Raw genomic sequence first — 27,653 nt, forward strand, 5'->3', positions numbered from 1 at the left:
GGCCCCTCTCACGGTGCCAAGATGGCGGCGGCGGCGGGCGGCGGCAGTTGCCCCGGGCCTGGCTCCGCGCGGGGCCGCTTCCCGGGCCGGCCGCGGGGCGCCGGCGGGGGCGGGGGCCGCGGCGGACGGGGCAACGGGGCCGAAAGAGTGCGGGTAGCTCTGCGGCGCGGCGGTGGCGCGACGGGGCCGGGCGGAGCCGAGCCCGGGGAGGACACGGCCCTGCTCCGTTTGCTGGGGCTCCGCCGGGGCCTGCGCCGGCTCCGCCGCCTGTGGGCCGGCCCGCGGGTCCAGCGGGGCCGGGGACGGGGTCGGGGCCGGGGCTGGGGCCCGAGTCGAGGCTGCGTGCCGGAGGAGGAGAGCAGTGACGGGGAATCCGACGAGGAGGTGAGGCGGTTGGAGGCGTCCCCGGCGCCGGGTGGGGCGGAGGCCGGGGCTTCCAGGGGTCTGGGTTGTCCCGGGGGCGGCGTGGGCAGGCCGGGTCCTCAGGGTTCCTTCGGAGAGACGGGGCACGGAGGGAGGGCGGCTGCATGCAGCTTCCGGGGGAAAGGGCCTCTGGAAGTGGGTAGAGAAGCCCCGGCTGCAGCCAGGCACTCGCGCCCGATGTCGGTCCCGCTGAAGTGTCTTGGGCCGATCCTTTTCGGCAGCTGGCAAAGCTAGGGCGGTGGAGGTTTGGGCGAGGAGGCAGTGGGGACTGCATGTCCAGCCAGTCGTGGTTGACAGCGGCAGCGTGGCCTTGGCAGACAGGTTGGAGCTGTCTGGGCTCTTACCTGTGGGCCGCCCCGCCGGGCCTCGCAACCTCCTGGTTTCTCCAGGGCCCCAGTTTCTCTTGGCATCTCAGGTAGAGTGGTGGAGGGCTTCCTCTTGGGGCTCGGGTTGAACAGGAGTGGGATGAAGGCCGGGACTGGGCACTCTAGCAGGTCAGAGCTCAGCTCAGGATTTCTCCCCCAGCCTTTCAGAACAGGCAGGAAGGTGTGGGTTGCGTTGCCCTGGACGGTTAATAACAACCTGAGAGCTCGCAGTGGAGCCTGTACGAAAGCCATCTGATGCCCTCCCCGCCCCTTCACTTGCGGGCCCCTGTTCCCAACTTAATGCAGAAATAAATTGTGGCCCGAAAGGGTGTCAGTGGAGGTCCCACTTTGGTCTGAATTGGACTCTGAAGGAATCTGAGTATGGGGCCTGCTGCCTTTCCTGAGGAGACCCTGTCGTCTTCTCTCTTGGGCCAGTGAACCATGGCTTTGGCTGTGCTGGTGTGGTCCGGCACTGGGGATCGGAGTTCGAAATACCTGGCGCCTCCATCCCTAGGGAGAGACCCTCTCTTCCACTACCCGCGACCTTTGAGTCTTTTTCGTTCTTTTTAAATAGGCAGGGGTATGCTAAGTGGGAACTGGGGATATTCCTCGATACCTCAGATGGAACGAGGGCTTTGGCACTGACTGCTGTTTCTCCCCTCCACCCCGGTCCCCTAAATCAGGAGTTTCAGGGTTTTCATTCAGATGAAGATGTGGCCCCCAGTTCCCTGCGCTCTGCGCTCCGATCCCAGCGAGGTGAGTGACGGGGGAACTCCACCTCTTTAGCGTCACAGGAATTTATCCTCGCCCTTCGTGTCAGCTCTTCCCTGTTCAACTAGCCTCTGTCAGTTGCCGAATGTGTTCTGTGTTCAGAGTCCAAGCTAGTCTGGGCAGCGGGGGAAACACACAAGCAAGACTTAGTCCCTGCCCTCCTGGAGCGCCTTCCTCTGTGTGTAGGGCTGGCTTGATCCATCTCCCCACAACTATTCTCCTTTTAGGTCGAGCGCCCCGAGGTCGGGGTCGCAAGCATAAGACGACCCCCCTTCCTCCTCCTCGCCTAGCAGATGTGGCTCCTACCCCCCCAAAGACCCCTGCCCGGAAACGGGGTGAGGAAGGCACAGAACGGATGGTGCAGGCACTGACTGAACTTCTCCGGCGGGCCCAGGCACCCCAAGCACCCCGGAGCCGGGCATGTGAGCCCTCCACCCCCCGGCGGTCTCGGGGACGGCCCCCAGGACGGCCAGCAGGCCCCTGCAGGAGGAAGCAGCAAGCAGTAGTGGTGGCAGAAGCAGCTGTGACAATCCCCAAACCTGAGCCCCCACCTCCTGTGGTTCCAGTGAAACATCAGACTGGCAGCTGGAAATGCAAGGAGGGGCCCGGTCCAGGACCTGGGACCCCCAGGCGTGGAGGACAGTCAAGCCGTGGAGGCCGTGGAGGCAGGGGCCGCGGCCGAGGTGGTGGGCTCCCCTTTGTGATCAAGTTTGTTTCAAGGGCCAAAAAAGTAAAGATGGGACAATTGTCCTTGGGACTCGAATCAGGTCAAGGTCAAGGTCAACATGAGGAAAGTTGGCAGGATGTCCCCCAAAGAAGAGTTGGATCTGGACAGGGAGGGAGCCCTTGCTGGAAAAAGCAGGAACAGAAGCTGGATGACGAGGAAGAAGAGAAGAAAGAAGAAGAAGAAAAAGACAAGGAGGGAGAAGAGAAGGAAGAAAGAGCTGTAGCTGAGGAGATGATGCCAGCTGCGGAAAAGGAAGAGGCAAAGCTGCCACCACCGCCTCTGACTCCTCCAGCCCCTTCACCTCCTCCACCCCTCCCACCCCCTTCGACATCTCCTCCACCCCCACTCTGCCCTCCACCACCACCCCCAGTGTCCCCACCACCTCTACCATCCCCTCCACCGCCTCCTGCCCAAGAGGAGCAGGAGGAATCCCCTCCTCCTGTGGTCCCAGCTACGTGCTCCAGGAAGAGGGGCCGGCCTCCCCTGACTCCCAGCCAGCGGGCGGAGCGGGAAGCTGCTCGGGCAGGGCCAGAGGGCACCTCTCCTCCCACTCCAACCCCCAGCACCGCCACGGGAGGCCCTCCGGAAGACAGTCCCACCGTGGCCCCCAAAAGCACCACCTTCCTGAAGAATATCCGGCAGTTTATTATGCCTGTGGTGAGTGCCCGCTCCTCCCGTGTCATCAAGACACCCCGGCGATTTATGGATGAAGACCCCCCCAAACCCCCAAAGGTGGAGGTCTCACCTGTCCTGCGACCTCCCATTACCACCTCCCCACCTGTTCCCCAGGAGCCAGCACCAGTCCCCTCTCCACCACGTGCCCCAACTCCTCCATCTACCCCAGTTCCACTCCCTGAGAAGAGACGGTCCATCCTAAGGGAACCCACATTTCGCTGGACCTCACTGACCCGGGAGCTGCCCCCTCCTCCCCCAGCCCCTCCACCTCCCCCGGCCCCCTCCCCACCCCCTGCTCCTGCCACCTCCTCCCGGAGGCCCCTACTCCTTCGGGCCCCTCAGTTTACCCCAAGCGAAGCCCACCTGAAGATCTACGAATCGGTGCTTACTCCTCCTCCTCTTGGGGCTCCTGAAGCCCCTGAGCCAGAGCCTCCTCCTGCCGATGACTCTCCAGCTGAGCCTGAGCCTCGGGCAGTGGGCCGCACCAACCACCTCAGCCTGCCTCGATTCGCCCCTGTGGTCACCACTCCTGTTAAGGCCGAGGTGTCCCCTCACGGGGCTCCAGCTCTGAGCAACGGGCCACAGACACAGGCTCAGCTACTGCAGCCCCTGCAGGCCTTGCAAACCCAGCTCCTGCCCCAGGCACTACCGCCACCACAGCCACAGCTGCAGCCACCGCCGTCACCACAGCAGATGCCTCCCCTGGAAAAAGCCCGGATTGCGGGCGTGGGTTCCTTGCCGCTGTCTGGGGTAGAGGAGAAGATGTTCAGCCTCCTCAAGAGAGCCAAAGTGCAGCTATTCAAGATCGATCAGCAGCAGCAGCAGAAGGTGGCAGCTTCCATGCCGGTGAGTGTGGTCCCTGGGCCCAGCGGCACACCCAGCCATCCAGCCTCCATTCTTTGCAACCCCCTAACCTTCCGCCTCCTTGGACACTTTCCAGCATTGCGGGGAACCCTCAGAACCTGCCTTTCTGTGATCCCCCACCTTCCTTTGTTCCTCCCCAGACCTGGCCCTTCTCTGTGCTAGTTCCCTGTCCCTATCTTCCTTTTTTTTTTTTTTTTATTTTTGAGACCGAGTCTCACTTTGTCCAGGCTGGAGTGCAGTGGCGTGATCTCGGCTCACTGCAGCCTTTGCCTCCCGGGTTCAAGAGATTCTCCTGCCTCAGTCTCTCGAGTAGCTGGGACTACAGGTGCCCATCACCACGCCTGGCTAATTTTTGTATTTTTAGTAGAGACAGGGTTTCACCACATTGGCTAGGCTGGTCTTGAACTCCTGACCTCGTGATCTGCCCGTCTCGGCCTCCCAAAGTGCTGGGATTACAGGCATCAGCCACCACACCCAGCTCCCTGTCCCTATCTTTCCTCACTGTCCAGCCCCTGACCCTGTTTATTCCCTGCCAGCTGAGCCCTGGAGGGCAGATGGAGGAGGTGGCCGGGGCTGTCAAGCAGATCTCCGACAGAGGCCCTGTCCGGTCTGAAGATGAGTCGGTGGAAGCTAAGAGAGAGCGGCCCTCAGTATGCATCGGGAGGAGGGCCCTGAAGAAGACTGGCGGGAGGAGTGGGGCTGCGGGAGCGCAAGCTGCCCACACACACTCCGATTTCTCCCCCAGGGTCCCGAGTCCCCTGTGCAAGGTCCCCGCATCAAACATGTCTGCCGTCATGCTGCTGTGGCCCTGGGTCAGGCCCGGGCCATGGTGCCTGAAGATGTCCCTCGCCTCAGTGCCCTCCCTCTCCGGGATCGGCAGGACCTCGCCACAGAGGGTAGGTGGGGAGACTGGACAGCCATGTCAGGTTTGGGGATGACCCCACACTTGGGTGACATGCACCAAGAGCCTAGGAGAGAGGGAGCCAAGTCAGGTGCTCAGGGGTTAGGTGGCAAGTGGGCTGGAGTGCTAGGTCCTAGAGCAACTTCATTTGGGGGCACCAGGAACCTGGCGCTGTGAGAAAGCGAGAGCCAGGTTGTGGGAAAGCAGGGAAGTGAGGTAGAAGCCTGGTGGCTTTGTGGCTCCATCCCCTCCTCCCTGCCTGCTGCAATAGATACATCATCGGCGTCCGAGACTGAGAGTGTCCCGTCACGGTCCCGGCGGGGAAAGGTGGAGGCAGCAGGCCCTGGGGGAGAATCAGAGCCCACAGGTTCTGGAGGGACCCTGGCCCACACACCCCGGCGCTCACTGCCCTCCCATCACGGCAAGAAGATGCGCATGGCTCGATGTGGACACTGTCGGGGCTGCCTACGTGTGCAGGACTGTGGGTCCTGTGTCAACTGCCTAGACAAGCCCAAGTTTGGGGGCCCTAACACCAAGAAGCAGTGCTGTGTGTGAGTAGCTGGGGCGTGACCTCATTCCCGTGGTTGTTGGTCCCCTAGGCTTCCTACCTCACTCCTCTTCTGCCTGGCCAGAGCAGTGGGGTTGGCATTCTTGTGGAGAGCTTCCTCTCTTCCCCCAGACCACCAGTCCCCTACCCTGGTGACGTGCTGCTCCCCTCCCCAGATACCGGAAGTGTGACAAAATAGAGGCTCGGAAGATGGAACGACTGGCTAAAAAAGGTGACGAGCTTTAAGGAGCATTTCTTCTCAAAACCGTGTTAGAGTTTGTGCTGTGGAGGGAGCTGTTTTTCTTTGCTCTCCTCCCTTGCAGCTCACCCTCTCCATCTTCTCCGTTGTGTGCTTTCATAGCTCCTGCGTTCATTCCCTGCCCCGCTTCTTTCTGGCTTCTCTCCCAGTGTCCCATGTCCCTGGCTGAGCTCAAATCCTACTAAGTCCCCTGTTCCCGCAGGCCGGACGATAGTGAAGACGCTGTTGCCCTGGGATTCCGATGAATCTCCTGAGGCCTCCCCTGGTCCTCCAGGCCCACGCCGGGGGGCGGGAGCTGGGGGGCCCCGGGAGGAGGTGGTGGCCCACCCAGGGCCCGAGGAGCAGGACTCCCTCCTGCAGCGCAAGTCAGCTCGGCGCTGCGTCAAACAGCGACCCTCCTATGATATCTTCGAGGATTCGGATGACTCGGAGCCCGGGGGCCCCCCTGCTCCTCGGCGTCGGACCCCCCGAGAAAATGGTGCGAACTGCTTAATGCTTTCTCTGTTGATCATTTATTTGGTCTTGTGTCTTTTGTGTAGGAGGGACAAGGCACCCAGACCCAGGGCTCTGTCAGTCTGATAGAGAAGGTGGCTGAGGGCGGAGGAGGAGACAGTTTTTAGGTGGATGTACAGAACTGGCCTATGAGGTTCTCAGTGAGCCTAATGAGTGAGACTTAAGGGTCATCCTAGGCCTGGTGCAGTGGCTCACACTTGTAATCCCAGCACTTTTGGGAGGCCAAGGTGGGAGGATCACTTGAGCCCAGGAGTTCAAGACCAGCCTGGGCAACATAGTGGGACCCCATCCCTATAAAAGCAAAAGTTAGTTGTATGTGGTGGCACGCATCTGTGGTCTCAGCTGCTCAGGAGGCTGAGGCAGGAGGATCGTCTGAGCCTGGGAGTTCAAGGCTGCGGTGGGCTATGGGTCACGCCACTGCATTCCAGTCTGGGCAACAGAGCGAGACCCTGCCTCAAAAAACAAGAAAAAGAATCGTCCTGGCGGGTCTTGGTTAGTTAAAGAAGGCCCTGGGAATCCAGGTAACATTTGGGGTTGTAGAAGAAGAGGGGCGTGGAAGGGGAGTGACCTCACTGCTCATTGTGTCCTGCCTAGAGCTGCCACTGCCAGAACCTGAGGAGCAGAGCCGGCCCCGCAAACCTACCCTGCAGCCTGTGTTGCAGCTCAAGGCCCGAAGGCGCCTGGACAAGGTCAGCACGGCCCGCTCCGAGAGCCCCTTCCCTCCAGGAGCTACCTGGCAAGTCAGAGTGACAGACACACCTGAGTGTCGTGGTGTGTCCACATGAGAGGACAGGCCCTGAGGGATGAGGCGGGCCTTGCCTGTCTGGAAAGCAAAGGGGTCTGGATCAGGGTCTGGGTCCAGTAGGCTGGGGGAAAGGCGGTGAGGAGAGGAGTCTGCATCACGGCCAGGCTGGCAGCTCTGAATTCCCCCACCTTTCCTCCCCAGGATGCTTTGGCCCCTGGCCCCTTTGCTTCTTTTCCCAATGGCTGGACTGGAAAGCAGAAGTCTCCCGATGGTGTGCACCGCGTCCGTGTGGATTTTAAGGTATGGCATTGAGTGGGGCGAGTCACAGAGCCTCTGGTTGGAAGAACCTCGATGACTGTGTCATCGAGAAGCCAGGTGGGTCTGCCTTGTATGCCTGGCGGCCCTCTGATCCTGCATCCTCTCTTCCCCCAGGAGGATTGTGATTTAGAGAACGTGTGGCTGATGGGGGGCCTGAGTGTGCTCACCTCTGTGCCAGGGGGCCCCCCGATGGTGTGCTTGCTGTGTGCCAGCAAAGGACTCCACGAGGTTAGATCTCTGCCTTTCTTCACAGACCCCCAGCTCTCTGTCGGTCCTCACGGCCTGATTCCTTGGGCCCTCTCAGCTGGGTCTCATCCCTTGGCCCTCTGGCCTCATGCTATGCCCATCATTCACTCCTTTACCCTGTCCCCAGCTGGTGTTCTGTCAAGTCTGCTGTGACCCATTCCACCCATTCTGCCTGGAGGAGGCCGAGCGGCCCCTGCCCCAGCATCACGACACCTGGTGCTGCCGTCGCTGCAAATTCTGCCACGTCTGTGGACGCAAAGGTCGTGGATCCAAGGTTTGGGCCCAAGGGCTGGCCAGGGTGGGTGGAGGCCTGAAGGTGAGGGCATCCCTGTGCCAGCAGGTTTCGCCATCTCTGTCTCCACATCCAACAGCACCTCCTGGAGTGCGAGCGCTGCCGCCATGCATACCACCCGGCCTGTCTGGGGCCCAGCTATCCAACCCGGGCCACGCGCAAACGGCGCCACTGGGTGAGAGATGAGGTTCACCCACTTGCTTTGTCTCTAATGAATATCACCACCACCCCCAAACTTGCTCTAGGCTGGGGCTCTCAGGAGGAGCAGAGGTTGGGGATCCTCTTAAGAATTGATTAGTAATGTTTCCTCTTCAAAAATTTCACATAGGTCAGATTTATATTCAGAATTTGCATGGAGTGGTTTTAGGGGCTTATGAATCTCACATTCCGTGGGCTCAGAATCCCCTGCTATAGCCTGATGTCCTCTCCTGCCCTCATGTTCCTCCTCCGTGTCTGTCCTGCGTGTTTTCTCCTCTTACCTGTCCCTCCTTGCCTGCTTCCTGCATATCCCCAATTCCTCCTCGCCCGTCTCCCGCTCATGTTGCTCCAGTCCAGTGCCTGGTTTTCCCCTAACATCGCCCTGCTCCCCCAGATCTGTTCAGCCTGTGTGCGCTGTAAGAGCTGTGGGGCAACTCCAGGCAAGAACTGGGACGTCGAGTGGTCTGGAGATTACAGCCTCTGCCCCAGGTGCACCCAGCTATATGAGAAAGGTGGGGACCGGGCAGGGGAACTGGATGCTGGGGGCCACAGGGGAATGGCCAGGCTCTTTTACAGGCTTTAGCACAGACCCTCTTTTCTCATGGCTTTCCACCTTGTAGCTATGGGACTATCTCTTCAACTCAGGGAACTCTTCCACAGGAGTCCATCCAGTATGTAAAACAGGGACACATAGCTCCTCTGAGGGTGGTGGGAGTGGAAGGCCTGGGACCCCACTGTCTTGGTGTCTGAGGTACTTCCTGGAACCTCACGTCTCCATTGAGCGGTTTGGAAGCCTTATTCAGGCAGTACATTAGCAAGGCCCTGTGTTCTGCAGAGTCTGAAAAGAGGCCTCATCCTAAGGCCGAGCACAGTGGCTCACGCCTGTAATCCTAACACTTTGGAAGGCTGAGGCAGGTGGATCACCTGAGGTGAGGAGTTTGAGATCAGCCTGGCCAACATGGTGAAACCCCATCTGTACTACAAATACAAAAATTAGCCGGGCATGATGGCGGGCACCTGTAATCTCAGCTACTCGGGAGGCTGAGGCAGGAGAATCGCTTGAACCCGGGAGGCGGAGGTTGCAGTGAGCGGAGATCTTGCCACTGCACTCTAGCCTGGGTGACAGAGCAAGACACTGTCTCAAAAAAAAAAAAAAAAAAAAAGCCTCATCCTCAAGGAGCTTTTAGGGACTAGTAGGGGCCCAAAACAGGGGCATAGTGGAGGCAGCTAAGGTACTGCTAATCCTTGAACAGAGACACTCAGGGCTGAGTGGGAACTCCAGCACCTCTGACTCCTTCTCTTCCCTTTCTCTAGGAAACTACTGCCCGATCTGTACACGCTGCTATGAAGACAACGACTATGAGAGCAAGATGATGCAGTGCGCACAGTGCGATCACTGGGTGCATGCCAAGTGCGAGGGGCTCTCAGGTGAGTCAGTGGAGCACCTGGGCTGCAGCCTCAACCCTGTGGGGACCCCTGCCCCCACCACAGGCCCCAAGAGGACTGGTGGGCTAAGGGTCCTTGCTGGCCTAGGGGCTGCTGGGAGCCCTCACATCCTCTGAAACCACTTTTCCCTTTCCCACTTGGCTATCCTAGATGAAGACTACGAGATCCTTTCAGGACTGCCAGACTCGGTGCTGTACACCTGCGGACCGTGTGCTGGGGCAGCGCAGCCCCGCTGGCGAGAGGCCCTGAGCGGGGCCCTCCAGGGGGGCCTGCGCCAGGTGCTCCAGGGCCTGCTGAGCTCCAAGGTGGTGGGCCCACTGCTGCTCTGCACCCAGGTCTGGAGGGCCCTGGAGGCAGGATGGGCCGGGGCTAGGCCCACCCCCAGCCCTGCTAACTTCCCCGCTTTGCAGTGTGGGCCAGATGGGAAGCAACTGCACCCAGGACCCTGCGGCCTGCAAGCTGTGAGTCAGCGCTTCGAGGATGGCCACTACAAGTCTGTGGTGAGTGGTACACCAGGAGGAGCAGGTGGGTGGCAGGAGGAGAGGGCTGGAATTGTGCAGAGGGGACTCAGTCTCTGACAAACCCCCTTACAGCACAGCTTCATGGAGGACATGGTGGGCATCCTCATGCGGCACTCGGAGGAGGGAGAGACCCCGGACCGCCGGGCTGGAGGCCAGATGAAGGGGCTCCTGCTGAAGGTGAGCTCTTCCGGGGATGCTTGTGGGGTGGGGGAGTGGGACCTTCAGACCCTGCCCCTGCCAGCTCTCCTGGGGAAGCTGGCTCTTCTCATCCTGTTAACCCACTCCCCAGCTGCTAGAATCTGCGTTCGGCTGGTTCGACGCCCACGACCCCAAGTACTGGCGACGGAGTACCCGGCTGCCAAAGTGAGCAAGGCTGGGTAGCAGAAGGGAAGCCGGGGAGTGAGGGCAAGGCCAGGGCATGCAGGGGCCACGCTGGGCTGAGAAGAGATGAGCAGAGGTAGGGTCTGGAGCAGAGCTGGAGAGGAGGGTGGTGGAACCCAGGTGAGATTCCCTGGTGGTTCTAGACTAGCAAAGCTTTGTTTCTGCTTTGTGCAGGGGAATGCTGGGGACAAAGCAGTGAGCGAATCAGATTGGGCTCTGCTTAAAGAGCTCATTGTGGAGCCGGGCAGGCACTGAAGACCCAGATGGTCAGGGCAGTGATGGAGAATACCAGGGGGCGGTGGGGGCCCGGAGGGGTACCTGCTGGAGCCGAGGTGTCAGGGAAGGCTTCCTGAAAGAGATGGCATTGGAGCAGAGCTGGGGAGGAAGAGTATTGCAGGCATGAGGAGCAGCATTTCGTATGTCCAAGCTGGCACAAGAGGGCCTGGCTTATTTGGTGGACTGAGAGAAATTCCACATAGAGAGGGAGTAGCGGGTGTCATGGCGAGTTCAGGCTGGTTTGTGGATGGGCCCCCGTTCAGCTGCCCTTGTTGGGCACATCAGCTGCTAACCCTGCCTGTCCACAGCGGAGTCCTTCCCAATGCGGTGTTGCCCCCATCCCTGGATCATGTCTATGCGCAGTGGAGACAGCAGGAACCAGAGACCCCAGAATCAGGGCAGCCTCCAGGGGATCCCTCAGCAGGTACTGGGAAGTGGGGGTCCAGAAGCCAGGGCCCTGTGTTGGTGGCCTGGCTCCGGGTCCTGATTCTTAGACCTCCCTTCACATTTCCTCTTCAGCATTCCAGGGCAAGGATCCGGCTGCCTTCTCACACCTGGAGGACCCCCGTCAGTGTGCACTCTGCCTCAAATACGGGGATGCAGACTCCAAGGTGAGGGCTGCTCTGTGACGCACCAGGTTGTGGGGCCTGTTCCCTGGCCTCCCCACATCATGCCACTCCTCTTCTGCCCCAGGAGGCGGGGCGGCTCTTGTACATCGGGCAGAACGAGTGGACACACGTCAACTGTGCCATCTGGTCGGCGGAAGTCTTCGAGGAGAACGACGGCTCCCTCAAGAATGTGCATGCTGCTGTGGCCCGAGGGAGGCAGATGGTGAGGGCGCGGGCGCAGAGAGGTGGACAGCTCTCTGGCTCTTGGGGAGGCCTCCTCCGGTGCAAACAGCTCTTACTTCACATTCCCTACCTGGCATCCTTTCACTGCCAGGCTGAGGTCTCTTGGTTGCCCTGGGACGTTGGTGCTGATGGCAGCTTTTTCCTATGTGGGCCCTCTGGCTGTAATCTGGGCCTGAAGTGTGGGAGTCTAAAAGTGAGAAGAGTGCCCATTGATTGAACCTGGGCTGCACGCTTTCCATGCTGGGTGGCGTTGAGCTCTCACTACATCCCCGTGAGGTTAGAATTCCCCCACTCCTCACAGTGGTGCCTGGGCCAGGTACAGAGAGACCTCAGGCACTCTCGGGCATTGGGGTGGTAGAGATTCCCACTGCGGGGGTATCTGTGAGGATGAAAATAACACAACCTCCGCCTGAAAACTGTGACAAAGATAATCACACTAATGCTATCAGCAAGTATTGTCATTCTTGCTTCAAAGAACCAGAGAGAGTTTGGTGTGCACCTGGGCCTGGATGCGGCTGGGGAGAGGCTGCGCCTAGGGAGAGCCTTTGCCGTGCCAGGCTAGACAGGGACCCATGCAGACTCAGTGACAGTGGTGCCTGGCGCCCAGCCCCAGCCCTGGCTTCTCCCCTGAGCTGCCCTCCCCTACGCAGCGCTGCGAGCTCTGCCTGAAGCCTGGCGCCACGGTGGGCTGCTGCCTGTCCTCCTGCCTCAGCAACTTCCACTTCATGTGTGCCCGGGCCAGCTACTGCATCTTCCAGGATGACAAGAAAGTCTTCTGCCAGAAACACACTGATCTCCTGGATGGCAAGGTGGGCCAGAACTGTGGGGTACACGGTTCCTTCCCCACCTCTCTTCCTGTTCACTTAGGGACCCCCGTGGCCCCCAGGCCTGGCCCTACTGCCTCTCAGTGTCTCCTCATCTGTTTTCCCAGAGGCCTTTAGGCCAAGCCCCTGACTGTTCAGACTTCCCTGGCATCCACCTCCCCCACCAATGCAGCCACCTCACTTTGCCACCCCCTCTTCCAGGAAATTGTGAACCCCGATGGTTTTGATGTTCTCCGCCGAGTCTATGTGGACTTCGAGGGCATCAACTTCAAGCGGAAGTTCTTGACGGGGCTTGAACCCGATGCCATCAACGTGCTCATTGGTAAGCTGCCTGCTCTCCGCCCTGTCCTCCTACCCTGTCCTGCCTGCCTCTCCTGACCTCCGCTTTGCACCACAGGTTCCATCCGCATTGACTCCCTGGGTACTCTGTCTGATCTCTCGGACTGCGAGGGACGGCTCTTCCCCATTGGCTACCAGTGAGCGGTCGGGGTGATCCATGGGGCCAGGGGACTCCATAGCTGGATCCCATTTCCCAAGCATCCTAACCGTCTTATCCCACATGCCAGGTGCTCCCGTCTGTACTGGAGCACAGTGGATGCTCGGAGGCGCTGCTGGTATCGGTGCCGAATTCTGGAGTATCGGCCATGGGGGCCGAGGGAAGAGCCAGCTCACCTGGAGGCTGCAGAGGAGAACCAGACCATTGTGCACAGCCCCGCCCCTTCCTCAGGTGTGGCTTTGGCTCTGTCTTCTTCCTGAATACCGCTCTCCCTAAACAAACCTACAGATCTCTGTTCCCCGCTCCCTTTTGGAAAGTCCAGGAGGCTTGCTTTTGCTTCAGTTGCTGTAATGTAACGGCAGCTCGCTTACTGCCATGCCTTGTGTGCCAGGGGCTGTGCCCGGCTTTTCATGGGAAGTGAGGTGGGGAGAGCGGCACGCTGCCTACTTGAGGTGGGGTACTGGCTTTTGGACGACTGCAGGGAGTAGAGTGCTTACAGCTCCCTAACTTGGGGCACTGTGCTCATGGAGCGCTCTCCAGTGTCGCCATACTACACCTTGAAGGGGACAGTGGCTGAACACAGTAACATGCTAGGGAAGCTGGAATTGGAACTGCATCTGCTCAGCTCCCAAACCGGCCCCCTTACAGCCACACTGGCTGTGGGATGTGGCTGAGAGCTGGATGGCACAGGGCAAAGAATGGGCTTGGAGATGGGGGAGAGGTTATTGTGGGCAGAGCAGGAGGCAGAAGAGATTTGGATGGTAGGAAGGGCTTTATTCCAGGTTGGAGCATGACAAGAAGTGGACAGAGGAGGAGGGTACACCCATCCCGTCTGGAAACCAGGGAGTTTTGGGTGGAGGAGGGAGATCAGTTTGCAGAGGTTGGGTGGAGCCAGGTAATGGAGAGCCTCCGGGCCGGGGCGGGCGGGAGCGTCTGATGTGGCTTGGATGCACCAGGCAAGTAAGAAAGTGGTAGGACTGGCCGTGCTGGAGGGAGGGCAGTTCCCCATGGCGTGCAAAGCCTGCAGCAGAGGCAGAGAGGAGATGGCAAGGAGCGAGTGGGGAGAGGCCCTGAAGGCCCCCTGGCCCAGGTGTGTGCAGGTTTTGCCAACTCCACGGTGGGTTTAGCCTGGGTGGTCACTGGAAACTGGGGCCTGTTGTGACTGGGTCAGGGTCGGGGACCTGGGAGGCATAGTGGCTCAGGATGAGAGCATGTGGGCAGGCTTTGACACAGAGCCCCTACCACCCCAATGCCATTTCTCGCCTCTTCAGAGCCCCCAGGTGGTGAGGACCCCCCACTGGACACAGATGTTCTTGTCCCTGGAGCTCCTGAGCGCCACTCGCCCATTCAGAACCTGGACCCTCCACTGCGGCCAGATTCAGGCAGCGCCCCTCCTCCAGCCCCCCGTTCTTTTTCGGGGGCTCGAATCAAAGTGCCCAACTACTCGCCATCCCGGAGGCCCTTGGGGGGTGTCTCCTTTGGCCCCCTGCCCTCCCCTGGTGAGCACCGGGCATGTGGGGGTTGGGGGTGGAGCCGCGGAGGTGGGAGCTGCTGGTAACACCAACCCTCCCCCCACAGGAAGTCCATCTTCACTGACCCACCACATCCCCACAGTGGGAGACCCGGACTTCCCAGCTCCCCCCAGACGTTCCCGTCGTCCCAGCCCTTTGGCTCCCAGGCCGCCTCCATCACGGTGGGCCTCCCCTCCTCTAAAAACCTCCCCTCAGCTCAGGGTGCCCCCTCCTACCTCAGTCGTCACAGCCCTCACACCTACCTCAGGGGAGCTGGCTCCCCCTGGCCCGGCCCCATCTCCACCACCCCCTGAAGACCTGGGCCCAGACTTCGAGGACATGGAGGTGGTGTCAGGACTGAGTGCTGCTGACCTGGACTTCGCGGCCAGCCTGCTGGGGACTGAGCCCTTCCAGGAAGAGATTGTAGCCGCTGGGGCCATGGGGAGCAGCCACGGGGGCCCGGGGGACAGCTCCGAGGAGGAGTCCAGCCCCACCTCCCGCTACATCCACTTCCCTGTGACTGTGGTGTCCGCCCCTGGTCTGGCCCCCAGCGCTACCCCTGGAGCCCCCCGCATTGAACAGCTGGACGGCGTGGACGACGGCACTGACAGTGAGGCTGAGGCGGTGCAGCAGCCTCGGGGCCAGGGCACGCCTCCTTCGGGGCCAGGAGTAGTCCGGGCAGGGGTCCTTGGGGCTGCAGGGGACAGGGCCCGGCCTCCTGAGGACCTGCCATCGGAAATTGTGGATTTTGTGTTGAAGAACCTAGGGGGTCCTGGGGATGGAGGTGCTGGCCCTAGAGAGGAGTCACTCCCCCCGGCGCCTCCCCTGGCTAATGGCAGCCAGCCCTCCCAAGGCCTGACCGCCAGCCCAGCTGACCCCACCCGCACATTTGCCTGGCTCCCAGGGGCCCCAGGGGTCCGGGTGTTAAGCCTTGGCCCTGCCCCTGAGCCCCCCAAACCCGCCACATCCAAAATCATACTTGTCAACAAGCTGGGGCAAGTATTTGTGAAGATGGCTGGGGAGGGTGAACCTGTCCCACCCCCAGTGAAGCAGCCACCTTTGCCCCCCACCATTTCCCCCACGGCTCCCACCTCCTGGACTCTGCCCCCAGGCCCCCTCCTCGGCGTGCTGCCCGTGGTCGGAGTGGTCCGCCCTGCCCCGCCCCCGCCACCCCCTCCCCTGACGCTGGTGCTGAGCAGTGGGCCAGCCAGCCCGCCCCGCCAGGCCATCCGCGTCAAGAGGGTGTCCACTTTCTCCGGCCGGTCCCCGCCAGCACCTCCCCCATACAAAGCCCCCCGGCTGGATGAAGATGGAGAGGCCTCAGAGGATACCCCTCAGGTTCCAGGGCTTGGCAGTGGCGGGTGAGTGCGGGTGCTGAGGCTGGCAGAGCAGGCAAGGGGGCAGATGGGCGGGAGATGCGGCTCATCCTTCTCGGGCTCGCCCTCCCAGGTTTAGCCGTGTGAGGATGAAAACCCCCACAGTGCGTGGGGTCCTTGACCTGGATCGGCCTGGGGAGCCCGCTGGGGAAGAAAGTCCTGGGTGAGTGGCCAGGCCCCTCTCCCTGGAGGGTCTGGGACCTCTGTCCTTCCCCTTCCTGACAGGTCTCTTCTCGCAGGCCCCTCCAGGAACGGTCCCCTTTGCTGCCACTTCCGGAAGATGGTCCTCCCCAGGTCCCCGATGGTCCCCCAGACCTGCTGCTTGAGTCCCAGTGGCACCACTATTCAGGTAGGGACCGGCCTTGCCCTCTCCCTCCTTGCCTGTGCCTGGCTCAGCTGGGTGACTCACAGATGCAAAATCAGCCCTCTTTCAAAACCAGTATCTACTCCCAGGGGCCAAGCCTGAGGCTCGGTGCTAGAGTTAGAGATGACCTTGGGGAGCCTCTGGCCTTGTGGGAGAAACAGACATGGAAATGACATTTCGCCTCTACGTGGGATCCTTTTAAGGGTCTTTGTCCAGCATGCCCAAGAGCCTAGGGGAGGGCCTCAGAGCCTAGCCTGCCAGGAGCTGAGAGAGAGCTTCCTAGAGTAGCCAAAGGTGAAGTTCTAGGATCATCTAGAGGGAATGCAGCCCAGCTAGCACCGAGATGAGGGTCAGGGACAGTGGGAAGATCAGAAGAGTGGTGTCCCAGAGGCCCAGGGAAGGGAGTCGTCACATCTCAGCTGCCACAGAGACTGCCAGGCCTGTGGAGTCTAGCGTTGGTGTCCAGTGAGAGCAGGTGGCACAGGGTGGGGCGTTGTGTCCAAGTCCAGAATTGAGACCATGGTTGAAGAAGGCAAAACAGCCCAAGCACTTGGCCAGAGTTCAGCTAAGGATCGGGAGCGGGAGGTGGGCGAGCAGCGTGGAGGTGCTTGGTGTGAGGGCCAAGACAGCGGAGCCATGGATGGCAGGGAAGGGCAGGCTGGGATGGAAAAGGCAGTGGGAAGAGGCCTGGTGGCTGGTTTTGAACTGGTGACCTCTGAGGTAAAGGAGAGGAGGGAAAGCAGGTGTTTATGCAGAAACTGTAATACATGGGGTGGAGGCCCCTGGAGGAGGCTTGGCTGATGGACTCCTTGAAGCTGGCGGTGGAGTGGTGGAGTTTTCTGTTGGTCCCTGAGGGCAGTGGCTGGGGGAGTGGCTGCGGCCAGGTAAGCTGGTGGTCGAGCAGCCTGAGGCTGGGATTTTGTGGTGGCCCAATCCTGTCCAGATGTTTGGATTTTCTCATGACACACAGCTCAGTTGCTGAGCTGGGAAGCAGAGTGACGTGGATTGAGAGTGCTTAACTCAGAGGCTGCTTATGTCTCAGAGATGACATGAGAATATGGCAGTGGCCTTAGGAGGTCCCTGTCCTCAGGGATCAGACCACATTTTGGTGCGGGACACAGACATGTTAGCAAGGGCAGGTTAGAGTGGGCACTGAGAAACCGAGCAGTGAGAGCACCTGCCAGGGTCCTGTGGTCAGTCCTGCTGTGTTTGGGAAACTGGAAGTGAGGGTTGGGGGACACAGGGAAGAAGTTGACAGAGGTGGACTCTGGGGCACTGAGGCCTGGAGAAGACGGGAGTCACACGGCAGGAGTGTTGCTTTAGAGTCTCCCTTGGGGCAGGGGAGGTGGGGCAGGGTGGCCTGGAGAGGTGACATCGGGAGAGTGTGGCCATGTGGGTTTTGCCTCTCCTAAAGCCTGTTCCACTCAAGCTTTTGTGCCCCCAACCCCCAGTGGTCAGTCCCCAGCCCACACCTGCTTGAGCAGCAGCAGCGTTTGGTGCAGCGGATCCCTCCCGCCTTGAAGCATTGTCTTCCCGGCTTCCAAGGCTGCTCCTGCTCTCACCTCTGGTCCTGCCTCCTTGCTCACAGCTGTCAGGCTAGATGTGTCCCGGGACCCTGGCCTTGACTTCTGTGTATGCTCACTCCCAGGGGCTCCCTTCCAGCTTGGTGGCTGTCCTCCCGTCTGTGTTCTGATTGTCTCCACATTGCTCTCTCCAGCCTAGACCCTGTCCCTGAACTGTGGCCTCCTCCATCCTGTCCTGCTGCCTGCCCACCATCTCCACCAGCAGGTTGCAGGGGGAGGTTTCTAAGAGGCCTCTCAAAGTCAGCCTGTCCCAAACTGAGCCCTCCACCTGCACGCCAAACCCATTCTTCTTTTGCCTTCGCTGTCTCAGTCCACAGCAGTTTTATCCTTCCAGGTGTTCAAGCCCAGCGTTGTCCCGACCCCCATCCCCCTTCTTCACATCCACATCTACTACGTCAGCATATCCCGTCTGCCCTGTTTAATCTATTAACCCTCGAGAAATCCCCTAAATAGCTCATAACATACAGTGTACTTGGCTCTGTGCATGTGAGCCTATATAATAATATATTTGTAGCTGGGCACAGTGGCTCACGCCTGTAATCCCAGCACTTTGGGAGGCCGAGGCGGGCGGATCACCTGAGGTCAGCCTGGCCAACATGGTGAAACACCATCTGTACTGAAAATACAAAAATTAGCCGGGCGTGGTGGTGGGCGCCTGTAATCTCAGCTACTCGGGAGACTGAGGCAGGAGAATTGCCTGAATCTGAGAGGCACAGGTTGCAGTGAGCCGAGATCACACCATTGCATTCCAGCCTGGGAGACAGAACGAGACTTTGTCTCAAAAAATGATAATTTTATGTTTGTAACAGTTACAGAAATTTGCTGCATCTAAAAAAAATAGATGTGCAAAATACAATTCTCCAGTATTTTAAATTTTGTGTGAGAAACAGAATAATGACAGGTAGATGGGATGTATGGTACACTGGGTTTGAGTGAGCCATAGGCGTGTCCTGAAGAGCCAAAAGGCCCCAAGCCTCTGTGGAATGCTTTTGTACCCAAGAAGTCCTGCAGAAGAGGAGCCGCAGGCTCCTTAGGGGAAGAAATGTCCATTCTGCAGGGCTCACTGGGTAACTGGAGCAGAAGGAGGGCCATTAGACCCTAGTATCTGTGTCTGCGCCTAGGGGTGGAGAGAGTGGTGTCTGCTGGGAGCACAGCGGGGCTCAGGGGCTTTTGAGTCCGGGAAGGGTGATCTTCACTCCAACCTGCTTCTTGGGACCAGGTGAGGCTTCGAGCTCTGAGGAAGAGCCTCCATCCCCAGATGATAAAGAGAACCAGGCCCCAAAACGGACTGGCCCACATCTGCGCTTCGAGATCAGCAGTGAGGATGGGTTCAGCGTTGAGGCAGAGAGCTTGGAGGGTGAGTGGGGGGAGTGCAGTGGCAGGAGGGAGAGTGTCCATAAAACACCATCCTGACTCAGCTCTGGCTCTGCTGTCTCCCCAGGGGCGTGGAGAACTCTGATCGAGAAAGTGCAAGAGGCCCGAGGGCATGCCCGACTCAGACATCTCTCCTTTAGTGGTAAGGAGTGGGCCCCACAGGGGGCAGGGAGCTGGATGTCTCCCCGAGGGCACCATGGGCCCTCCACATGACAGGTGTGTCCTCAACATCTCCCCTCAGGAATGAGTGGGGCGAGACTCCTGGGCATCCACCATGATGCTGTCATCTTCCTGGCCGAGCAGCTCCCCGGAGCCCAGCGTTGCCAGCACTATAAGTTCCGTTACCACCAGCAGGGAGAGGGCCAGGAGGAGCCGCCCCTGAATCCCCATGGGGCTGCTCGGGCAGAGGTCTATCTCCGGTGAGAGGTCTGGGGTGTGATGCCTGGGTCAGGGCGCCCCTATGAGAGCTCTTGAGGGTGGGAGTTAACTGTAGAGGTTGGAAACTGAGGCCTGGGGAGGAGACACTAGGTCACTTGAAGAGTTATTTCTAGAGTTAGCCAGGCTCCGTGGCTCATGCCTGTAATCCCGCCACTTTGGGAGGCCGAGGCAGGAGGATCGCATGAGCCCAGGAGTTGGAGACCAGCGTAGGCAACATGGCAAAACCCCATCTCTAAAATAAAAATTTAAAAAAGTTATTTCTAGAGCTGACATCAGAAAAATGAACCCCACCCATTTCCCTGTTAGCTCTGTCTTCAACAGTATATTCCTCCTTCCCCTGCTGCCACCTGCAGGAAGTGCACCTTTGACATGTTCAACTTCCTGGCCTCCCAGCACCGGGTGCTCCCTGAGGGGGCCACCTGTGATGAGGAAGAGGATGAGGTGCAGCTCAGGTCAACCAGGTATGGAGTGTGAGCTGGGGGGCGGGTGGTGGTCTGGAAGGGTCTTAGAGAGTGAGCAGGGGTGAGAGAGGTCATTCTGAGCACCAGCCTGGGTGACACTGCTGTCCCTCACCAGACGTGCCACCAGCCTGGAGCTGCCCATGGCCATGCGTTTTCGTCACCTTAAGAAGACGTCCAAAGAAGCTGTGGGTGTCTACAGGTGAGTGGGGTTGGGGGGGAGGATGCCCCTTGGGTGGACGGACAGGTGCACTGGGTAGGGGGTACTGTCTGGTTTCTGTCCCCCTCCCCCCTGAGTTCCCTGTTCATCCTGCCCTGCAGATCAGCCATCCACGGGCGAGGCCTGTTCTGTAAGCGCAACATCGACGCGGGGGAGATGGTCATCGAGTACTCTGGCATTGTCATCCGCTCGGTGTTGACTGACAAGCGGGAGAAGTTCTACGATGGGAAGGTGGGCTCCCAGTGGCTGTGGGAAGACAGTGGGTGAAGCGAGCCTGTCCGCGGGGACAGAGCACCTGATCTCCCCACCTCATCCCTGCAGGGCATCGGGTGCTATATGTTCCGCATGGATGACTTTGATGTAGTGGACGCCACGATGCATGGCAATGCCGCCCGCTTCATCAACCACTCCTGTGAGCCCAACTGCTTCTCTCGGGTCATCCACGTGGAGGGCCAGAAACACATTGTTATCTTCGCCCTGCGCCGCATCCTGCGTGGTGAGGAGCTCACCTACGACTACAAGTTCCCCATCGAGGATGCCAGCAACAAGCTGCCCTGCAACTGTGGCGCCAAGCGCTGCCGTCGGTTCCTTAACTGAGGCCGTGGCTGCCCACCACGACCCCTCACACCTCCTGCTGCCGTCGCTGCCATCTTGCCCCTAGCCTGGGGGCTCCCTAGCCCCTCCCAGAGCATCTCACCCCCACCCTCATGTTCAGGGTGGATGTGGGCATGCAGGTGACAAGGGCCCTGCCTCCACCCCTCCAGCCCATCCAGCAATCGCCCCCTTTCTGCCCTGGGGGCCCAGGATGTAGATATTGTACAAAGGTTTCTAAATCCCTTCTTTTCTATGCACTTTTTTATTTAAGAGGTGGGGTCCCAGGTGGGAACCCCCCCACAATAAAGTCTGTCAATGTTTGGAGAGGTGGTCTTCCCATTTGTAGGCTGTGGGGGCAGGTAGGAACCCCACTTCTACACACCCACCCATCATGACCCAAGGAAGTTCATCAGCCTCAACAGGTAGGTGAGGCCATCATTCAGAATTAGAAGTCAGTCATGGGGTCTGTTACGGCTTCAGAACAACACAACACAGCAACTGTCTGTAGCAGGGTTGTTTCCCAGAGGGGATTCTGGTGGCCCAGAGGCACCTGGGGTCAGCCCTCCCACATGTGGCCCTGTGTGTATGTTGGAATAGGCCCTTCTAGGGCGAAGAGCAGTGAGGCTATCTGTTGGGTCTTTGCCCAATTAGGATTGTACTTCAAGAAGTACTTCAGTGCTAATTGTATACTGGGCTTAGTAGTCAGCAAAGTTCTTTATTGGGTGTTAAGCCCAGCAAACCCCAGATGAGCCAAGCTTGGACAGCACCCGCAATGCATCTGCCCGCCCTAGCTGGGCGAGGTGTGTGCCAAGCTGGCCCAGGGAGGCAGAGGGCTCCCTTGCCACCACCATCTCAATCAGAGCCCGCAGCGGCGAGCGACTCGGCCTCAGCGAATAGGCAAAGGTGGACCAGGCAGCAGGCAGCCCATATCTTGCGGCCAGGTGTCGAGTAGTGCCATGGGCCATACCCCCACCTGGCCCAGGCTCAGGGTCCAGCAGTACAATCAGCTCTTCCAGCACCTCCAGCTCATCCAGGAGGCGAGACAGGGGTTGTGACGCCAGACTGGACAGTTCTGGAAGAAAGGGGAAGGGTAAAGGTGCGGAAGAGCGGGCGTCCAGTCCACCTTCCCTGCCCCGGGGCTCCTCCAGGACTAACCCCTGCTCAGGAGTGGAAGTAGTGAGGCCTCCTTCCATGTGTCCCCTGTCTCCAGGGCGCCTGGGGAGGACAGATGCGAGGAGGAAGGGGTGTGGGTGTTGGGGACTCCGCAGACCAAGCCAGGATAGGGATAGGGGTCGGCTTTCTCCTTGGGCCAGCAGAGATGCCAGAGCAGAATAAACAGGAGGATCGCTATCACCGCCAAGGTCAGGAGCAGGACCAGCACCACGAGCGGAAGGAAATTCGGCCAGGCCTGCTGAGGGACAGGCTCAGGGGTCCTCCAGGCAATGGAACTTGCTGGTGAGCTGCGCTCCTGGGAGCTAGGGGCGCCTGGGTTTCCAGGTGTGAGGGGGCAGTGCCCCTTGGCAGGGACCGGCCTCTGGGGATAAGGGGTTGGAGTAAAGCTGGAGGCCACACTCCACTCCTGCCCGCTCCCAAACCTCCCAACTTTATATCCTTTAATGGGGCCACATCCCATCTGATACGGTATCTGATAAGGTAGTTGGGCCCCGCAAGGCCCAACTACCTTAACCTAGGACCTCCCGACCCCTGCAGGCCAGCCACCTCCTGAAACCACGGCCCCACCCCTTACGTGGGGCTACGCCGGCTCCCTACATCTAGGCCCCCCACCTCCAGCACGCCCTTGCCCTGCCGGGAGTCCCATCTGCACCTCTCTGCAGCGCCACGGGGTTCTGCCCCCGCCCGCGGCGGGAGTAGGGGTCACGGCTCCGCCGCCGCAGGGGCTACATAGCTCCGCGCCGTCGGGGTTGCACTGCCCAGAAGAACACTTTCGGAACGGGGGCGTTACGAAATCGCCGTGGTCATTGAGTCCGCAGTTTTCCCGGAACTCATAGTCTAGCGGGAAAGCTGCGCTCCAGTGCGGCCGCCTAGCCCGCCCCTGCGCGGGCAACGCCCTCTCCCTTCGCCCTATCCCAGCGTGCCCCGCCCCTCCAGGACGCTTCCAGCCTATTAGCGTGCGCCCCGGTCTTGTCACTTTTCTCCGGGCTCGCCTTTTCACCCCCCTCCAGCCTGCTCCGCACGAAGCTCCGCCCACTCCCGGCTTCTCTACATAAAGCCCACCCTTTCCACGCGGCCCCTATCCCGCCTCTCCAGCCATATCCATTCGCTGTTGCCCTACGGTAGCCCGCACTATCTGCACAGGCTCTGCCTGCCATCCCTGTCTGATCTGCATAAGGCCCACCGCTTAGACCCCTAAGCAAGCCTCTCTGGCCCGTAGCCCACAGACCTCGCCCCTTCCCCGCTCCCTATCACCTGCAAGCTCCGCCCAAGCAAGGCTCGGTCTCGGATTCTCACCCGGGCAGGGGGGCGGCCCGAAGCGTTGCAGGCAGCTGCTGCAGCACTTGTTGTCTGGGTTCCAGTATTCAAGGCGGCCGCAGTACTGGGAGGCTTCCGGCGGTGGCGCCAGGGCCAGAAGCAACAAGGCCGTCAGGAGGCATCGTCCAGGCCCCATCTGGGGGGCCGTGATAGCGGGACTTCCAAACACAGCGCCTCTGCTACACTTTCCGGGGAAATCGGGCAGAAGAAAGGACGCGGTGATGTGGGGGAACAGAATTCTCACGCCTCTTCGGAAGCCGGGAATCTACCCCCGAGCCCTCATCCCCCAACTGAGCCGGTTATCAGAGAAGCCCACAAGGCCACTAGGGGACTAACAGGGCTGCGGATCTAGATTGCAAGAATGCATATCCCACCTCTGCCGTGTCCTCACCCACCCACCCTCCCTTTTCCATCCCTAAAATAAGACAATGATAGCACCTGTCTCATAGGGTTATTGTGGAGAATTAGAACCGTCATTAGAAGTAAAGCAGGGGCTGGGTGTGGTGGCTCATGCCTGTAATCCCAACACTTTGGGAGGCCAAGACAGGAGGATCACTTGAGCCCAGGAGTTCGAGAGATCAGCCTGGACAACAAAATGAAACCCCATCTTTACAAAAAAAAAAAAAAAAAAAAAAAACAGCAAAGCACTTTGCCAAGTGCAGTGGCTCACGTCTGTAGTCCCTGCTACTAGGGAGGCCAAGGTAGGAGGATTGCTTGAGCCATGAATTACAGACCAGCCTGGGCAACACAGCAAGACCTCATCTCTAAAAACAAAAAAAACTGGCCGCCGGGCGCAGTGGCTCATGCCTGTAATCCCAACACTTTGGGAGGCCCAGGTGGGTGGATCACCTGAGGTCAGTAGTTCAAAACCAGCCTGGCCTACATGGTGAAACCCTGTCTCTATTAAAAATACAAAATTAGCCGGGCGTGGTAGCGCATGCCTGTAAATCCCAGCTACTTGGGAGGCTGAGGCAGAATTGCTTGAACCTGGGAAGTGGAGGCTGCAGTGAGCTGAGATCGTGCCATTGCACTCCAGCCTGGGCAACAGGAATGAAACTCCTTAAAAAAAACAAAAACAAACTAAAGTGCTGAAAACAGCACCTCACATACAGTAAACTCAGTGTTTAAGTGTAAGGCATTACTAACTCCCATCACAATTCGGCAGGCACGGAGGAGTCAGCCCCATACTGGCTGGAGACCACCTCCCAGCACCTCACCTCACCTTTGAATCCTAATCTCCTTGGGGCTAGGGCTCCTCCCACCTGCCACAACCAGGTCTCTCCCCCTTGAATAAGCCTCAGATGGAGGTGCTAAGGTTTTCAGCACAAAGGTGTCCCCACCCTACCAGTACCGTTAGGGTCCTGGGTCCCAAGCTGGCCGTGCCAAGTTCCTCAGCTGAAGTTGTGGCCAGGACCCAGTCTTGTTTCCCCTTTTCGTCACATGTGTGGGTGGAGGGAAATGCCAAACCACAGCAAAAGCAAGTTGATGCCGAAGTGAAACACGCAGCTTTATTAAGACAGGGGCGGTAGAAGAAGGTCTCCATGCTGAACAGATTACATTATGGAGCCCGGGAGCCTGGGAAGGATGGGGCAGGAGAGTGAAGGGGGCTTTGAGGAGAGGTCCTGCCAGGAACATCTGTCCCTGTTGGGGGTGAAGGGTAAGGGGGCCAGGGCCTCAGAAGCGGCCATGCCAGTGATCAGGGGAACACCGATGGTTCCTCTCTCGGGGATGGTGGCCAGTATGGAACCTCGGGGGTGACCTGGGAATAGGAGCGTTGAGAGTTCTGTTAGAACCCTGAGGAGTGGTGCAGAGATCCTGCAGGCCTGCCTCTCTGCTCTGGGATGAGGCAGGAGGGTGCTGAAATAACTAGAGTTCTAAGACACGACCTCAGTGGCCAGTATCAGGGGAACTCAGTGGCCAGTATCAGGGGTGGCAATCCAGGCTGGTCGTGGATTAGGGGTTCAGGCTGGTTTGGGGATTGGGACTTAGGTACTGGTCTCCAGATGGAGCTCAGAACTACTCTTAGGGTATAAGAGTCTTGGGAATGACCGGGCGCAGTGGTTCACGCCTGTAATCCCCACACTTTGGGAGGCCGAGATGGGTGGATTACCTGAGGTCCGGAGTTCGAGACCAGGCTGGCCAACGTGGTGAAACCCCATCTCTACTAAAAATACAAAAATTAGCCAGGCATGGTGGCAGGTGCCTATAATCCCAGCTACTTGGGAGGCTGAGAAAGGAGAATTGCTTGAACCTGGGAGGCAGAGGTTGCACTGAGCCAAGACTGCGCCTTTGCACTCCAGCCTGCGGAAGAAGAGCAAAACTCCGTCTCAAAAAAAAAAAAAAAAAAAAAAAAAAAAAACAGTCAGCCGGGAGTGGTGGCTCACGCCTGTAATCCCAGCACTTTGGGAGGGTGAGGCAGGTGGATCACGAGGTTAGGAGTTCAGACCAGCCTGGCCAAGATGGTGAAACCCCATCTCTACTAAAAACACAAAAATTAGCCGGGCATGGTGGCAGGTGCCTGTAATCCCAGCTATTTGGGAGGCTGAGGCAGAGAATTGCTTGAACCCGGGAGGCGGAAGTTGCCATGAACCAAGATGGTGCCAATGCACTCCAGCCTGGGCAACAGAGTGAGGCTCCATCTCAAAAAAAAAAAAAAAAAAAAAAGATTCTTGGGAACGTGGTTACTGGGGCTTAGGGTTAGGCTCATCTGAGGATATAGGGGCCTTAGGACATGAGGAGACATAGCAGGCTGGTCCTGAGGTACCTGCGCCTGGGTCCCCGCCCATAGAGCTGCCTCTGGAGGTTCTGGGAAATGGGCCGCAGATGCATGAAGTTGCAGAAGCCACCTCGGGTACATTCCCTGCATAGAGGGTAGAGAGATGGAGGAAGCCATTGTCACTGACAGCCCCTACCACGCATTCAAAGTCTGGGATTCCAAGTGCCCATCCCACCCTTGAACTACCATACCCCATCTCATACTGGCGACAGCATGACTCCCGGAAGTCAGTGACAGGAGACAGCTCACCGTGCACAGCCTGCCCGTTGAACCAGCGGTTACTGAGTTCAGCCACGGCCCGCTCTCCATCCTCCTCCCTCCGGAACTGCAGGAAATGTCAGTCAGGGTCAGCAGGAGAACTCAGAGATCTTCAGGGGACTCACTACCCGCTCTGGGGCTGGACTGGATTTAGTGATGAAATTCAAGCTGAGAGCCTACAGTGGCCACCATCAGGCATTGAAACGCCTCCACTTCTGGGCCCTAAGTGGGGGGCAGCAAGCACCTTGACATAGACGTTGCCCACGAGGTGGTCCCCAAGGTTGTCGCACACATTCATCTCTTCAATCTCCCCATACTTCTCCTGCAGTTCTGTGAACACCTCCTGTGGAAGACGGGGAGGAACTCAGCTGAGCTCCCACAAGAAACCCCATCTGCCCCTACCAACCCTCACCTCGAAGAAGCTATCATAGTGCTCCTGCACCTCCACGTCACTCACATGACCTGGGGTGGGGGCGGGCAGGGTGGAATCAGAGTGTAGCCTACTGGGGGCTGTTCACCTTGCCCCCAGGCCTGGTCCCTTACTCACAGTGTGATCCGTCTGCAGTTTGGGCTGTGTTCTGTGGATTCCGGTACAGGTTGAGCAGCACTATGGTCTGCACAGAATTTAAAAGGGGCGGGGCCTGAGCTCAGAGGGCAGGGCTGCATGAACAGAGAGTGAGGCATGAAGGTTGGGGGTGGAACCTTACACCCCAGCCTAAGCATCATGAGTGCATCGGCGATCCTTTGCCCCTAAGAAACCAGAAAAGGGATGGAGGGGACTGGCAAGGATGAACAGCGGGATGGAAGGGACTGGCAAAGATGAACAGCCGCCGTGTGTAGCCTGTACGCATGGGGGCGCGACCAAGTTCCCGGGAAAACGGCACGAAGACCGGTGGGAGGAGCCTGCAGAAAGGTCCAATGAGAAAAAAAGCCGGGCGGTGGGGAGGGACTCAGGAACCCGGAATAGGCGGGACATGGTGACGACGGCCCCAGAAGGGGAAGGGCCAGGGAGCCGTTAACCCCCGAGGCTCCGTGCCGGGTCTCACCTGGCTGAATGTCGGCTTGTTGTGAAGCCGGGAGCACCGGTCCCCGTGCCGGCAGACCCCGATCTTAAAGTAAAAAGAGCAGTTAACCCTGGAAAAGGTGCAAAGACAAAGGTGAACCGAGGGCCGGGGAAGCTGGGCACCCCAGAAACACCGCCCCACCACCCAGGACCCCAGTACCCCGGCCCCGACCCCCCGAGAGTCCACTCCCAGCGCCCGTTCTCACTTGTCCTTCTCAGTCCCGAATATCGAAGCTAAATATTCAGCCATTTTTACCCAAGCCCTCCAGGTCTGGCTGCTCTTACGTCACTTCCGTTGCTTAGGAGCACTGGGAAGTGTAGTTCGTTGCCCTCTCCAGGCGCTTACCAAGCGCTCGGAAACGCCCCAGGGCGCTTGCGCGTGGGAGGCGCGCGCCCTCCCCATAGACTCCCCGGTAGGAGTTCTTTTAACAGCGCATGCGTGCAGTGTTGCCTCGCCCAAAGAAGACTACAATCTCCAGGGAAACCTGGGGCGTCTCGCGCAAACGTCC

The 27,653-nt window shown here is 59.2% G+C and overlaps 3 protein-coding genes across 24 annotated transcripts, besides 10 other annotated features; 1 reads left to right on the plus strand and 2 right to left on the minus strand.

Annotated features, from left to right (window-relative positions):
* Positions 6–20,881, plus strand: KMT2B (lysine methyltransferase 2B). Of its 5 annotated transcripts, none has more exons than NM_014727.3 (37): positions 6–384; positions 1,472–1,544; positions 1,787–3,807; positions 4,362–4,475; positions 4,571–4,721; positions 4,998–5,277; positions 5,450–5,505; positions 5,735–6,010; positions 6,640–6,734; positions 6,992–7,090; positions 7,223–7,336; positions 7,482–7,628; positions 7,726–7,821; positions 8,239–8,356; positions 9,159–9,272; positions 9,441–9,625; positions 9,701–9,790; positions 9,884–9,988; positions 10,101–10,174; positions 10,777–10,892; positions 10,988–11,079; positions 11,162–11,299; positions 11,970–12,128; positions 12,345–12,465; positions 12,541–12,619; positions 12,710–12,870; positions 13,911–14,138; positions 14,218–15,511; positions 15,600–15,689; positions 15,766–15,875; positions 18,693–18,830; positions 18,915–18,989; positions 19,089–19,266; positions 19,639–19,746; positions 19,862–19,945; positions 20,065–20,194; positions 20,285–20,881. In NM_014727.3, exons 1-37 carry the CDS (start codon positions 22–24, stop codon positions 20,558–20,560), a joined length of 8,148 nt encoding a protein of 2,715 aa, NP_055542.1. In that variant the 5' UTR covers positions 6–21; the 3' UTR covers positions 20,561–20,881. The 5 variants fall into 5 exon arrangements, 4 of the variants coding, with proteins under 4 accessions (NP_055542.1, XP_011525863.3, XP_047295743.1 ...); XM_011527561.3 differs by having other exon boundaries at positions 1,853–3,807; XM_047439787.1 differs by lacking the exon at positions 5,735–6,010.
* Positions 81–130: a silencer, noted in NCBI's record as "silent region_10534". NCBI's record gives its function as "represses an Ori minimal core promoter by ATAC-STARR-seq in GM12878 lymphoblastoid cells {active_cell/tissue: GM12878}" and the evidence as "EXISTENCE:reporter gene assay evidence [ECO:0000049][PMID:35858748]".
* Positions 151–220: a silencer, noted in NCBI's record as "silent region_10535". NCBI's record gives its function as "represses an Ori minimal core promoter by ATAC-STARR-seq in GM12878 lymphoblastoid cells {active_cell/tissue: GM12878}" and the evidence as "EXISTENCE:reporter gene assay evidence [ECO:0000049][PMID:35858748]".
* Positions 238–795: an enhancer, noted in NCBI's record as "H3K27ac hESC enhancer chr19:36209137-36209694 (GRCh37/hg19 assembly coordinates)". NCBI's record gives its function as "activates a minimal SCP1, AML or CMV promoter by ChIP-STARR-seq in naive H9 embryonic stem cells {active_cell/tissue: H9 hESC(naive)}" and the evidence as "EXISTENCE:reporter gene assay evidence [ECO:0000049][PMID:30033119]".
* Positions 261–340: a silencer, noted in NCBI's record as "silent region_10536". NCBI's record gives its function as "represses an Ori minimal core promoter by ATAC-STARR-seq in GM12878 lymphoblastoid cells {active_cell/tissue: GM12878}" and the evidence as "EXISTENCE:reporter gene assay evidence [ECO:0000049][PMID:35858748]".
* Positions 391–440: a silencer, noted in NCBI's record as "silent region_10537". NCBI's record gives its function as "represses an Ori minimal core promoter by ATAC-STARR-seq in GM12878 lymphoblastoid cells {active_cell/tissue: GM12878}" and the evidence as "EXISTENCE:reporter gene assay evidence [ECO:0000049][PMID:35858748]".
* Positions 20,804–24,455, minus strand: IGFLR1 (IGF like family receptor 1). 10 transcript variants are annotated; one of them, NR_144338.2, is made up of 5 exons: positions 24,399–24,455; positions 23,027–23,226; positions 22,383–22,567; positions 21,713–22,089; positions 20,804–21,629 (listed from the first exon to the last, which is right to left on the minus strand). NR_144338.2 is itself a non-coding variant. In NM_024660.4 (5 exons), the coding sequence occupies exons 2-5, from the start codon at positions 23,181–23,183 to the stop codon at positions 21,283–21,285; spliced, it is 1,068 nt and encodes a 355-aa protein (NP_078936.1). In that variant the 5' UTR covers positions 23,184–23,226; positions 24,399–24,455; the 3' UTR covers positions 20,804–21,282. The 10 variants fall into 10 exon arrangements, 5 of the variants coding, with proteins under 5 accessions (NP_078936.1, NP_001332935.1, NP_001332932.1 ...); NM_024660.4 differs by having other exon boundaries at positions 21,713–22,091; NM_001346006.2 differs by having other exon boundaries at positions 21,713–21,772; positions 23,027–23,231.
* Positions 21,773–22,403: an enhancer, noted in NCBI's record as "H3K4me1 hESC enhancer chr19:36230671-36231301 (GRCh37/hg19 assembly coordinates)". NCBI's record gives its function as "activates a minimal SCP1, AML or CMV promoter by ChIP-STARR-seq in naive H9 embryonic stem cells {active_cell/tissue: H9 hESC(naive)}" and the evidence as "EXISTENCE:reporter gene assay evidence [ECO:0000049][PMID:30033119]".
* Positions 22,541–22,670: a silencer, noted in NCBI's record as "silent region_10538". NCBI's record gives its function as "represses an Ori minimal core promoter by ATAC-STARR-seq in GM12878 lymphoblastoid cells {active_cell/tissue: GM12878}" and the evidence as "EXISTENCE:reporter gene assay evidence [ECO:0000049][PMID:35858748]".
* Positions 22,751–22,860: an enhancer, noted in NCBI's record as "active region_14496". NCBI's record gives its function as "activates an Ori minimal core promoter by ATAC-STARR-seq in GM12878 lymphoblastoid cells {active_cell/tissue: GM12878}" and the evidence as "EXISTENCE:reporter gene assay evidence [ECO:0000049][PMID:35858748]".
* Positions 24,208–24,637: an enhancer, noted in NCBI's record as "active region_14497". NCBI's record gives its function as "activates an Ori minimal core promoter by ATAC-STARR-seq in GM12878 lymphoblastoid cells {active_cell/tissue: GM12878}" and the evidence as "EXISTENCE:reporter gene assay evidence [ECO:0000049][PMID:35858748]".
* Positions 24,467–27,421, minus strand: U2AF1L4 (U2 small nuclear RNA auxiliary factor 1 like 4). 9 transcript variants are annotated; one of them, NR_163170.1, is made up of 9 exons: positions 27,351–27,421; positions 27,128–27,215; positions 26,629–26,741; positions 26,326–26,424; positions 26,073–26,148; positions 25,812–25,907; positions 25,299–25,348; positions 25,158–25,211; positions 24,530–24,806 (listed from the first exon to the last, which is right to left on the minus strand). NR_163170.1 is itself a non-coding variant. In NM_001369824.2 (6 exons), exons 1-6 carry the CDS (start codon positions 27,392–27,394, stop codon positions 24,606–24,608), a joined length of 420 nt encoding a protein of 139 aa, NP_001356753.1. In that variant the 5' UTR covers positions 27,395–27,421; the 3' UTR covers positions 24,467–24,605. The 9 variants fall into 9 exon arrangements, 3 of the variants coding, with proteins under 3 accessions (NP_001356753.1, NP_659424.2, NP_001035515.1); NR_163172.2 differs by lacking the exons at positions 25,158–25,211; positions 25,299–25,348 and adding an exon at positions 26,494–26,543 and having other exon boundaries at positions 24,467–24,622; positions 26,326–26,421; positions 27,128–27,190; NR_163173.1 differs by lacking the exon at positions 26,629–26,741.
* Positions 25,973–26,133: a silencer, noted in NCBI's record as "fragment chr19:36234871-36235031 (GRCh37/hg19 assembly coordinates)". NCBI's record gives its function as "represses an EF-1alpha promoter that drives an FKBP-Casp9 reporter gene in an ReSE screen in phorbol 12-myristate 13-acetate-treated (for megakaryocytic differentiation) K562 erythroleukemia cells {active_cell/tissue: K562(+PMA)}" and the evidence as "EXISTENCE:reporter gene assay evidence [ECO:0000049][PMID:32094911]".

This window comes from Homo sapiens, chromosome 19, assembly GCF_000001405.40.
Source record: "Homo sapiens chromosome 19, GRCh38.p14 Primary Assembly".
In the NCBI taxonomy this organism is placed as follows: domain Eukaryota; kingdom Metazoa; phylum Chordata; class Mammalia; order Primates; family Hominidae; genus Homo; species Homo sapiens.